Consider the following 13,490-nt stretch of genomic DNA (forward strand, 5'->3'; position numbering starts at 1 on the left):
ACATATTGTACCTTGGTGACAAAATACTATTGACAATGACAAAAGGAACATTTTGTTATTTCCTAAAATTATAAAGCTGCAAATATATTAGTCCACTTTCACACTGCTACAAAGAACTGCCTGAGCCTGGATAATTTATAAAAGAAAGAGGCATAACTGACTCACACTTCAGCACTGTAAGTTCAGGAAACTTACAATCATGGCAGAAGGCAAAGGGGAAACAAGGCACCTTCTACACAGGGTGGCAGGAAGGAAAACAAATGGAGGAGGAACTGCCACACGCTTATTAAATCATCAGATCTCATGAGAACTCACTATTAGGAGACCATCATGAAGGAAACCACTGCCATGATTCAATTACCTCCAGCTGGTTTCTCCGTTGACATGTGCAGATTATAAGGATTATGGGGGTTCAATTCAAGATGAGATTTTGGGTGGGAACCCAGCCAAACCGTATCAGATATAGTCTATGCTTTTCAGCTGGACTGGCACCTCAATCTCTTGGTAGCCTAAATTAATCAATAGAAGACTTTTCCCAATTAAAAATAATTAAACAAGCAGTTTAGTTTAACATTCTTGTAGTAGATGAATGCTAATAAAATATTTTGAGGCTAAACTCAAATAGGTGACAGGTGAATACTTGTCATATCCTTTGATTGGCATTTTTCATTCCTCTGTATGTTAAAGTGAGACTACTGGAATTGATCTGTACCCCACCTCACCTCACAAATACACCCAACTGCAAGCCTTTCTGACATCAATGCTAAAAACATACAGACAAAACATATAGTCCCAGCTAAAATGGAAACTTGCAATAGATTAATTTGTCATGGTAATATGAAGATGGCGTCCTTTTTATTTCTTCCATTTTCTTCAAGTTCTTAGGATGAACACTTCACCAGAACAAGTACAGTGGTCCCCTCTTTTCCATGGTTTTGAGCTCCAGGGTTTCAGTTACCCACAATCAACAGCTGCCCAAAAACAGGTGAGTATAATCCAATCAGATATTTTGAGAGAGAATCACATTTACATAACTTTTATTTCAGTCTGTTCTTATCAATGTTCTATTTTATTACTAGTTATTACTGCTAATCTCTTACTAATTTACAAATTAAATTTTATCAAAAGTATGTATGCATAGGAAAACAGTGTATATAGAGTTTAGTACTATCTGTGGTACCAGGCACCCACTAGGGATCTTGGAACATATCCCCTGTGGAAAAAGGGGACTCCTATGTAGTAAAAAAAGATACTACATCCCCAGCATGCATTCCTCCTCTTTATGAGATACTAGCACCTGACTTTTCTTTGAATATTTATTTACCCTCTCTCAAGTATACAATTAGATACTCAGTTCTGGAGGTATCAGGACTGGTAAAGATGATCGACATAATTTATCCCCTTATCCACTGCAAATTGTTTGGAGATGAGTACATGCCACAATTTGGGCCAAAGAGAGCACAAGAATTGCTGGGGTGTGTGCATCAACCCTGCAAGAGATTTCTGCTCTTCAGTAGAAAGACATGTTGAGATGGCAGCCAGTCTACAACACAAGAGGACAGCCTAGAGCCAGAGATCCACAATGTGGCACCTGAGAATGAAGCTGGCAGTGCAGGTCAAAGAGTTAAGAAACAAGAAACCAGTACCTGGGGGCTGTTTTGGTAGCCCATCAAGCCTCATTGAAGCTGAATTCTCCTCTATCCTTTTCAGTTATGTGAATAAATAATTGTTTTATTTTGTGTGGTTAAAGCTATTTGTTTTCATTGCTTGCAGTATAAGCAGTTCTTACCACCAGCCTTCCCACAGATGAAGAAAATATTCATTTATATGGTAGGGCTGAAAAAGAAGACACCTAACAAATGACTTCTTTTTTCATTTCAATGTTTTGTTTATTTATTTAATTTTTTTTGAGATGGAGTCTGGCTCTGTCACCCAGGCTGGAGTGCAATGGCACGATCTTGGCTCACTGCAACCTCCACCTCCCGGGTTCAAGCAGTTCTCCTGCCTCGCCTCCCGAGTAGCTGGAACTACAGGTGCACGCCACCATGCCCAGCTAATTTTTGTATTTTTAGTAGAGATGGGGTTTCACCATTTTGGCCAGGATGGTTTTGATCGCTTGACCTCGTGATCCGCCCGCCTCAGCCTCCCAAAGTGCTGGGATTACAGGCATGAGCCACCACACTTGGCCCATTTCAATGTTTTATCTGCATTTAGACATGAAAATTACTACTAGGTAGATTAAATATTTAGGTTCTTGCCTGCCATGGCCAGGTCAGTATCTAGGAATTTAACATCCAAAAACTTAAAGACTATGTACATTGGGAGGCCAAGGGAAGATAAACATTGAAAAGTGTATAGATCTACAGATTGGGAAAGCCATGGTCCCTAAAGACATGATATGTTGGCGTGGTATTAGCAAACTCATTATCAGGTTGGGTAATGAATTTGTGCTAATCAAGTATTGTCATTATAATAGTGTTCTACCTTCTTCAGCCATTTCAGCACAAGGTAAGAGTTTATAATGACATACATAATTTTACCATAAAACACAGAGAATTAATACCTTAGCAAGCGTTTTATCCTTGGTATTATCTAAAAGGTCCTAGGGCATAATTGAAAATTAGCCAGAAACAACTGTAAATTAAGTAAAATAGGGACCAAAATTGCAAATTTTATATATAAATACACACTTGTATGTACACACACATACATACATCATGGAAAAGACAGAATTTAGGAACAACCTGGTAATATAAAAAAGAAATTTTCTTCCACATGTAAATTTTCCTTAAACTTTCATTTGACTTAAGTATGAAACTAGAGACCTGCCAAAAAGTTTTAATAAATAATACATTATAAAGATATGTTCCATTATACTTGGCTGTAATAACAAAAATAATAAAAATTGAATTGAAAAGATATAATAACAAGCTGAATACCAAGTTCAATAATAACAATCTGAAATAATTCACAATGATAAAGGAAATATCACAAGTTCACATTAAAATGATGAATGCCCTAAGGTCTCCAAAAACAAAATTTGAAAGCAAATATTAAAGGTGCAGAAAGTTACAAATAAGGTAATTTAATCCTAATCGTCAGCATGATCATTCATCAGGTTTGAGGAGACTGAAGAACAGAAAGAGGCAAAAAACTTACTAAAACAGAAGTAGTATTTTACAAAGGGATACTCATGGAACAAATTAAAGTGGTACAACTCAATCTCACGCATACACAAGCAAAAATTCTCGTCTGGCAAATCTTGTCTATTATTTGTGGAAAACAGGATCTTCAGGCAGAAAGTGTAAACACAACACTCCATGCATACAGGGAAACTGACGTCTGCACTCTCAGTCACTAGGTTACTATGGGCACATATCAATAAGTCAATAGATGTTCAGTGGCTAGACAAATGATGATTGAATTAAAACCATTTCTCTCCTCATGAAAATAATGGTATTTTTCTCATAAATATAAACACATATAAACCAGAAAATGAGTCTCACACAGAGAAGAAACACTTGTTTTTTACTCACTATATACTAATGCTGCCTTGAGGAAATTAAATAACTCTTTTCTATTTGGACACAATTAATGCAGATTCTTAAAATAACAAAAATTAGCATTTCATATGCAATTAAGTAAAGTTTAAAATACATTAATGTTAACAAAACTAACATCCAGTAAGGAAAATTGAAATATACATGCACATCGAGGTTAACAAATGCAGTAGTATAAAGTACTACAGGAAAAATTCAGAATATGTTTGAATAAGTTTTAACTTGTTTTTAAAAAAAAATGACAAGGAAAAAAACTGGTATTAGGAACTTGGCAAAAAATTAACAATAAACAGTTTTCGGAACATGCCGTGGAATGATCAGGGTTCAGCTCAATTTCCCATACTGCCAACATCTAGAGCTATAGCAAACATAAAATATATGCTTGTAATATATGGTCCTAATCACAATAAAATCACAATCATCTGAGGGATAGGTTTATGTTCAGTGTGGTATATGTATGCATTTTTTAAAAAGAAAGAGGATCAAACAGTAAGGTTTATGGTGAATATTTATTTTAACCAAATAATTTTACTATTGGATTAACCTAATATTTTATTAGGTCTATATGAGTATGAAAGTCTACCTTATGAGTATTACATATTTTATTAGAATAACCAAATAATTTTATCATATAGAATATGATAAAATTATCAATCTACCCTATGACTATTAAAATATTAATTGAAACATAAGCTTTAAGCTGTAAGCTCCTTGAAGCTACCCACTGTATTCCTTTGTTTACGACCATATTCCCAGGACAAGAGCCCAACACGGTATGTAGCAAGTGGTAAGCACTCAATAACAAATAAAGTCATTTATAAAGGCATAGCAGATGAGATAAGTTATCCCTCTAGGCAAGGGATCAGCAAACTTTTCCTATAAAGGGCCAGATAGTAATTTTTTCAACTCTGCAGGCCATAGGGCCTGTGTCCAAACTAGTCAACTCTACCTGTGTAGCATGAAAGACTCTAGAGCTAATAAATAAATGAATGGAAATGGCTGTGTTCTAATAAAACTGAAATTTAACTTGCTTACAATTTTCATGTTATAAAATTTTCATTTGATTTTTTTCAACTTTTAAGAATGTAAAAACCATTCTTAGCTTGCCAAAACTACAAAAACAGCTATCAAGCCATATTTGGCCTGCAAGTTGTATTACTAGTTTACCAACCAACACTTATTCTAGGCCAACAATTAGATATTGTCCATATACAACTAAATGCTGTATATTGTAAGAAATTTAATACAAGGAAAAAGGCTTAGATTGAAAAAAAATCCCTCTGAACTTCATAGCTCCATCTGTAATAGAACTAATATAAAAACCAGAATTGCTGTTAAGATTAAATGAGATGATGCATAGTGATGAATACATATCAGATGCTCACCTCAGAACCTGGAAAGAATCTTTAGAAACAGCAGATGTTATAGGCAGACCACCTCACATCAAAGTTTACTACAGTGAGCAAAATATTAATATTCTCCAAAGAACTTTGTGTCAATATTTGCAAAACTATTTTTAATTTACTGACAACTGAAAGAAATTATTACAAGGCAATGAGTGTCAATAATCAACCTAATTTCAAAACACCAATGCAAAAGCCATTAGACTGTCATTCTCAATTACTTAATTTACTGTCTGCCAATAATTTAACTAATATAGGTTAATGAGTTTATACATTTTACATACATAAAACCTATCAGGTTATACTATGCTGACTCCTCTAAAATTCTTTAATGGGAAAGAAAACAGATCCTTTGAAAAAAATTGTAATAACATAATAATTGTTATTTCATGGACTATATCCGGAGAGACTTGGCTTCATAAAACAAGAGGCAAGGAGGTAAGTCTGGTGAAAACATGCCCAAGTTTCCTATTAGCTTATTCATTTTAGGTCAAGTCATCATTTAGTACCCATCCATTTATCCAGGACAGAAAACACTTGTGCAAATTATCCTGGCAAGATGTTATGGGGCTCTGAGACATCTACTGTAACTTTATGGACTGAGTTTATAAGGTTACGAACTTATAAGTGCTACTTCCTCCTAGGTATCATGCACATCAATTTTGAAAATTTATTTCCAGTGACTTGCATATAGACCCTTACACAGTGTAATTAAATACAATGTATATATGGCTAATAAACTCTAAGATTCTTTTCAATAAACTAAAATTCTCCAACAAAATATAGCCTAATACTCTGATAAATAAGATAACCTTTAAAGTATCCAACCTTAAAGGATGTGATCTATTGACAACTGTCTCCCTCACTAAATGAGTAACATTAATAAGAACATTTGAGTACATTTAGTATATGAGATATGAATCACTTTACATGAATTACATTTCTGAATCCCCATAATAACCTTATAAGGCAAGTGTAATTATCACATTTTAAAATATGCAGACTGTAGTTCCCAGAGATTAAATAACTTGTCCAAGGTCACACAATTGATAGGAACACTGTGTGGGATCTGAACCTGTCTTGCTTTGTACTTTGCTTAGTACCCTGCTTAATTAAACCTCTGTTATTTGGGCACAACTAAGCAGAAAAATGCCTTTACAATTTATAGGAACATTTATTTAGTTATTATTCTCCAGTTTTAAAATACCTGAACATTCACTAGCTGTTAGGCAGACATGATGACCCCACATGACCATGCTACATCCGAAGACTTAGAAATTTTCATGGTTTTCGCAGCCTCCTGAAAATGGGCAATGAATGCTTATCTATCCCTCTCTCCCTTTTTCCTCCTTCTTCAACTCATTACATTATCATTATCTTTATTATATTTATGACATAAGTTGACTTTTTCTTTTTCTTTTAAACATACCATTACAATCAACATCTCTGTGTATAAATGTTTGGTTCCGGTTATTTTCTTAGAAATGAATTCTGGAAATAAAACTACTGGGAAAATTATGAGAGCATTTTCAGGTTCCTTGATATTTGATGCCAGAGTGCTTTCTAGGAAATTTGTAAAAATATGTATTCCTATTAGTAGTATATAAGGATGAACAGTTCATCCTTTTAAAATATAAGTAATTTTAGGAGAGACAATTCATCATGGATTTCTTGCTGTGAATTAATTGAATTGATTTACTTGCTCCTTAATAGCAAGCAGAAATCTGTTTCATTATGGGAAAGATGATTTCCATTGGAGGAGAAGGAAAGAGAAAGTTTAGATAATTTTGGAGTGTGCAACAGGGATAGGAAGTGGTTCTTTCAGTTGAGGACTGAGTGGCTAATGGACAGTATGAAAAGAAATGGACATGCTCAGAGGGCAAAATAGTTGTCTATCAATAAAGTAAAGTAAACAAGGTAAGAAGAAATCAAAGACCATCTTCAAAGTTGGCTCTGAAAACATGAAGTATAATTTCCTATACCTTCATATTGGCATATTGATATGGATTTTCTTTAGCAAATAGCAATGATAAAATTTTACTGGGTTTTAACATGTTAGCTTCTTTATTTTCCCCTATTCATTGCTGACATTGCCTTTCTTCTCATCAGTATGCAAGATATACACTTAAAAATATTTTGGGGGGATATTTTCAAGAGTCTTGGAAGAATTGAATATATTCAAGCTTTAACAATAAGAGTCCATAATCATTCATTAAATGGAATTGACTGGAACTCTGTAATTAAAAACTGCCTGCCAGATTAAGGGCACAGCAGGCATAGAGCAAAATGACAGATACTCCAAATAACCAAAGATACAGATCTAAAATTAGCTCAAACTTGTTCTCAGATTTGCTAAGAAGGGGAATAGTTCCATAAAGTAAACTGAAATCTAAAAGATCTCTGTTTGTGGATACAGGTATGAATATCGTCTTTTTCCCTGCAGAGATATAATCACAAAATAACCAATTCCCACTTTCTTCTTCATTGTATAAAGTGTACTGTGGCAGATTGTTCCTTTTATTTACCAGGCTTCTAGAAACATTTATACTTTTCAAGCTAAAAAGGTTGTTTTTTAAATCATCAAATAACAGCCTTCAAGGAATGATTTCTTCAGCAAGAATGTCACAGGATTCAACTCTTAAAAACCTAAGTAACAGTATAAAAACTCTAAGTATATTGCCTAATATAATCTAGTATTTTCTTTCTGGTATCTAGATGGTGTATAAAGGAAAAGAAGAAATGCAATTTAACCTTGTAGCAATTCTCCATTCTTTCCCAAACTTAAAGAGACATTCTAATCTAGCATAATCTTCATTGTCCTATGTGTTGTAAAATAACCTTTTCTTTCAACAAGGCATTGAACGAAAGCTATAGTGTTTCAAACAAGAAAGTCATCCCTTCTGTTAATGGAAGTCGAACGTCTTTTTAGAACAGCACAGGGTTTTAAATGATGGCTTTCTTCCTAAAACCAGAGCCAGACTTCTGGGTAAAAGAGGGCACAGGGAAAACTTAGCATAGCAGGCTTGAGACTGCTGTCTTTAAAATGGCCTGCTTGCAAGACTGGCTTTTGGCTGACATCAGGAAACTTGAATGGTAAATAGTTTCTAAACTGATAGAAAACTTTCTTTCTTTGAGAAAGAGTCTTACTCTGTCTCCCAGCCTGGAGTACAGTGACACAATCTCGGCTCACTGCAACCTCTGTCTCCAGGGTCCAAGCGATTCTCATGCCTCAGCCTCCTGATTAGCTGGGATCACAGGTGTGTGACACCACGCCTGGCCAATTTTTTGTATTTTTAGTAGGGTAAAGAGTAAATGTTCCGGGGTGAAATACATTTGAGAAATATTAAGGTAAAATTAGATTTTTGGCAGACTTACTTAAAATGATACATGCACAGTGGGTTTCCAAAAGGGGCATACAGAATGTGGCAAATTTCACAAAATCATTTGATCACAGAAATCTTTTTTATATGAAGCAAAGCAGGACCAGTGCTTTTCTGTTTCAGTTCTAAAAGAGGGATCAGATACCTGCTTCATATAAACTTCAATCTGAACCTACTAATGACTGGGGATACCAGGATGAATGACCGCAGACTTCAACTTCCAGAAGTTCACATGTTAACAGGGAAAAGGAATAAAATGATGATAGAATTGTTTATCTCAAACTCAGCAAGAAAGTATAAACAAGGGACTAACCACCACCTCCAGCTGGGGAACTGTGAAGGGATGAATTCATAAATGAAAGTGCATATAAAAATATCTGGCATATTTTAAGCACTAAAAATATTTGGTTGTTATTACTTTTTAGATTGTCATAGTTGGTTGGTTTAGGCGAAGGAAGAATCCCATGAGTCAGACGAAGGAGGAAAGAGAGAGTCACAGAGGCCCTGGAGAACACAGAGTGTAACATCAGATGAATGAGGAGAGGCAGGCAGGTGCCCCTGGAGGTCCTGTGTGTCTCACTGGGAGCTCTTCAATGTAAAGGGCAAAGTCTCGCCCTTTCTAAAAGCCTTCAGTATGTTAAACAAATTCAAACAAAACAAGATTCAAAAAACATCGATGACAATAAAGTCAATTTGAAAGGACTATGATTGAGGCAAGCATAAGAATTAAGGTATAGTCAAGAGATAGTTTCACCTAATGTTCCCCTGGCAGTCTCATCATTCCCTTGGTGAGATGCTAATAAGGGTTAGAGAGCCAGTCTAAGGAATATAAAGTGAAGAACCTGTCACTCAGTTGTCAAGGGAAACTGCCTGTCTATAATTCCCTTAGCAAAGCCTTCATATCTTAGCATATGTTAATTAGACTTCATGCTTAAGCCTAAAAATTTATTACACTCCAGGCTTTGTTTCATTTTGTTTACATTTTTTAAAGAAATATATCAAAAAATGGAGTTGAGCTTTATATATGTTGTATAGTTTCCTCTGTTTGGTATAATAGTCAAACTTACTAACTGTTCACAATTTCTAACAGTCCAGTTTGTCATTTTCTCTAATTAATTTTTCATCTAAAAGTTGTTGGCATGTGGCTGAGAAGAACTGAAAAAGAGACGTAGGTAAGAGTAGAAAATAATAAGATTCATGAGATTAGGTGGATCAATGCAGATGTTTTTAACTGGAGATTCTGTGAAATGTAAATAGAATCAAACCTGAGGCTTTATCAAATTCAAAAGGATATCCTAAGCAATTCTGATTATGAATTACATCTACATTCATAAATTATGCACTTACAAAGAGGAAGTGTTTGAAAATATTTTTAAAAAGCAATGTTACTGAGAAAAAAATAAAATATTAAAAAGGTCTTAAGCAAACAATTTTAGGAAGTAAAATAAAACACTACCAGCTTATATTAAATAGTGCTTTAGTATTTCCAGAGAACTCTACATGTATGCCATTATTAGATCATTACTATAAGCACATGAGAAAGTCAGGAATATAACACCATGATTTAGTTTCACGTGTGGTGGTAAGACTTTCATATATGTAAATTAACAACACAAATGTAATTTGCACTTAATTCAAGAAAACAATCACTTTACTACTTATAAAAGCCTGAAATCTAAAATGCACACTGCTAACAGCCAAGATTAAGTATTAGTTATTTGATATCCACACTTGAATGTACCCTTCTCCCAATAACCCGCCCTCCCCACTATTTGAGAATCAGTGTCCCCATCTGTAAGTTGGAATTAAAATATAGGCATTTTCTGCTTATCATCAGTAGTCCATTTATGAAAAATCAGACATTCTATTCAAATGCCAAACAGGTAACAATTTCCAATTATTTTAACTGAGAAAGTTATATTTAAACCCAAATCCCCAATTCCCTAAAATGTAACTGAAACACATTTATACAGGTAATAGCCATTATGATGAAATGTAAAATGATGAGACATTTTCTGCTACTGCAACTAACATTTATAGCATTTTATATTTATAAAAGGGAGCATTGGTTTTTAAAGATTAGATACACTACCCCTGCCCATCGAGAGCACTCTTCAAAAATTTGGGTATGGCCATGCAAGTATTCAATGACAATGGGAAAATACTATAAAAAATATTGGTTTTATAAGATATATTCTTCAATAATTCATGCAATTTGCTTTAAAAAAAACCCTTATCTTTCCCAAGAGGGAAAAAGATACGATGAAAGACAGGAGACAAAAATCTGCCTATGTTTCTTTCTCCATTCCTCCAGTTTATAGTGCTAGAATTATCAGGGGACCTGGAATTATCTTATTATCTCTGTAATAGAAAATCTGTGGTTCAGCATCGACTCACCCTTTCTGCTAGCCTCATTCACCATATATACAGCGGTTCAATGTTTCCCTTAACCAAGCTTGTCTTCATAAACACAGTTACAATGAGTCTTTGGGCACCTTGTTGCAATATTCTTGATGCTATGTTCTTCTAAGACTTTGAAGGATTAACAGAGAAGATAAAATCAGAACTTGGACCTACAGTCCTATTCCTGACTTATGCTAGGGTTGTTTTCATCATACCATCTAGAACATGGCCTTGTGTTGATAGCAACACCTTCTGGAATGGCAAAATACTCATTGGTAACACAAGGAAAGACATACTAAAAATTTGCCTATACCCTTGCTAATTTCATATTACCAAATCACTCTGATTCTTCAGTGTTCTATCTTGGCTCAATCCAATATCTTGTAAGTAGCTGTTGTTAATAGGTAATTTAACAATTTATCAGTTTATAAGGTTTTGCTCTTTCCTGGTCTGGTCCAACTATTGCACCTTTACCCTTGCTACCTCAAAATCAAAGGTTTAGAGGGACATACCAGAAACACAATGTAAAGTATTTGATTATGTCGTTGACGTTATGTCACACTGACAGTGATGGTAGCATTCATTCCCAGGGATGCTACATATCCAGCGCAAGGAACAACTGTCTTACCCCATAGGCCAAAGGCTTTACCTGTTGAGAAGCAGTAGCAGTGACCCAGTCCCAGTTCTAACAACATTCTTTTTATAGAAAATATGGACATTGATCCTAAAGCTGTCTCTCACTAGTTCTGCCATTTTGTTGAAGTCGCTTAGCTTTCTGGGCCTCAGTTCCCTCATCAAAAAATTGGGATAAAGAATATTGTTTAATTTCTTCTATTTTAAATTACAGTAGGCCCTTCATATCTACAGGGGATTGGCTCCAGGACCCTAGAGAACATCAAAGTCTGAGGATGCTTAAGTCCCTTAGTAGGCCCTGCATGTCCCAAGGTTCCCCATACACTGTTGGATGAATCCTTGGATACCAAGGGTTGACTGTATTTCATATTTTTTATTATACTTATATATTTTAACTCATATCCTATAAACCTACATTTATAGCAATCCCTTGATATTCTGTAATTTTTAAGGCATTAGCTAGATCCTGCAATTAGTTCCTTAACCCCCTAAATATTAAGGAAACAATTTTAAAACTCCCTTTCCTAAATCCATTGAAGACCCAACAGAATACAATAGTGAAAGAATATCAGGAGTTTGATAAGATAGTACAGTTTCTTCTAAAGTTCTCAGAAAATTAACATGGTGGTAGGCATAACAGATACACTGAAGTAGGTGATTTTTAGCTTTGAATCAAAGAAGCACTGACTGACCCAGAAAAATGAAAAATAAAATATCAAGAGGAAAATCAGTAAGAGATATTCCTCATTCTGAGTTAATAGGAGTGAACCAGGCAGAGACGAACTAAGACAAATAGGCAAAAGAGAAAGCACCAAGATGTTACAGCTACCTGAAAATGAGGACTTTATAAACTAAGGACTGTACACCAGTTGCCAGGCTCAACACTTTGTATCAACAATCCACTTTTTGATTTTAACAAAGTTTTGGTATTTTAAATTTCTTCACTTTACTAGATCCCCAGTTTCACCTTCATTGCAAACTCAGACCAGGTCGGGAGGGGGTGTATTTGAAAATGAAGATAACCGCCTTTCAATTGTGAAAGAGCAGTGTAAAGGCTGTTTAATTTGGAGATAATGGCTTATATGAATTGTGTGTAATGTTGCATTAACTTGTTGTAATTGTCATGGTTATTAAAACTATAGCCAAACACTCACCATGTGCTCTACAGGGCACATTAACTATATAAAAGACATCATCTGTGCCCTCTAGGAACTTAGCCTAAAAGTTCAAAGCAGTGAGTTTGATACTCGTTGATACATGAAGAAAGTGGATTATACTGTATCAACCTAGAACGATGTAGTTCAAGAATTAGAAGATTCAGCTAAATCTTACTTTAAAAACTAAACCTCAACAAATGTAATTTAGTTTTTAAGGTTAAAATAAAGTGAAGAAGGAAATATAAGAGAAATTCATCAAGAGGCATTAACTCAAATTTTTCCTCTATCCTTGACCCTCATTTTACTGCCTATAGGTATAAAAAGGCTGGCTTCCCCTATTTTCTTATCTTGGATAGATGTGATCAGGCTGGCACTTCTGATTTTGGCAAGCCAGCAGCATTAAAGAAGGGGGAGAGGAGTCACACCTGACCAGATCTTCAACTTGTTTTTGAGTCTGCTTGTCCCTGCCTCTCTCGCTGTTTCTTCTGCTCCTGAAAATATGATTAATATCTATGCATTTGTAAAACTCTGCATTGTAAGCAAGGCTGTGGCTTTTCCATCCCAACGAGGTTGAGGTATGGAGTTAATGAGAAGTGAGACTGTGGGGAATGAACAGGAACATGCCAATGTTAAAGTAATTGAGCATGAATATCAAACACTGACTTGGGAACAGTCTTCATTTGCTGAGGGAAAGTCTGATCAGCTGGTGGGCAGATGGGATGTGCAGAGACCTGCGTTCACTGCCAGCCCCAGAATTTCCATATCATACAGGCTATACCTTATAAGCACAACACCTTTGTGTTTCCACCTAGAATCATGTTTCTTTTTCTTCTTTCTTTTCATTTTCCTACCTTTTTCTCTTCCCTCCTTCCTGAGAAAGGTTCCTTCTCTTCTTTGAAAGATGTGCCCAATATTGAGAAAATTAACACCTTTTCAAAAGATGTAGGTTATTAT

At 35.1% G+C, this 13,490-nt stretch overlaps 1 protein-coding gene across 45 annotated transcripts in view; it reads right to left on the bottom strand.

Annotated features, from left to right (window-relative positions):
• Positions 1-13,490, bottom strand: part of TPK1 (thiamin pyrophosphokinase 1) — a 384,497-nt gene that overhangs the window by 180,758 nt on the left and 190,249 nt on the right. For 16 of the 45 annotated variants that reach the window (XR_001744630.2, XM_011516033.3, XM_011516034.3 and 13 more), the window contains one exon: positions 13,388-13,465. The exons of 27 other annotated variants lie outside the window; for them this stretch is intronic. Coding sequence is in view for 15 of the 18 variants with exons in the window: in XM_011516033.3 (XP_011514335.1) it covers positions 13,388-13,465 (78 nt within the window). In the remaining 3 variants the exon portion in view is untranslated. Of the gene's footprint in view, positions 1-10,740; positions 11,030-13,387; positions 13,466-13,490 lie in introns of those variants that run through there. 2 more of the 45 variants (XM_017011980.3, XM_017011981.3) reach the window with 2 other exon arrangements.

The sequence above is a fragment of the Homo sapiens genome, chromosome 7 (assembly GCF_000001405.40).
Source record: "Homo sapiens chromosome 7, GRCh38.p14 Primary Assembly".
Classification (NCBI taxonomy): domain Eukaryota; kingdom Metazoa; phylum Chordata; class Mammalia; order Primates; family Hominidae; genus Homo; species Homo sapiens.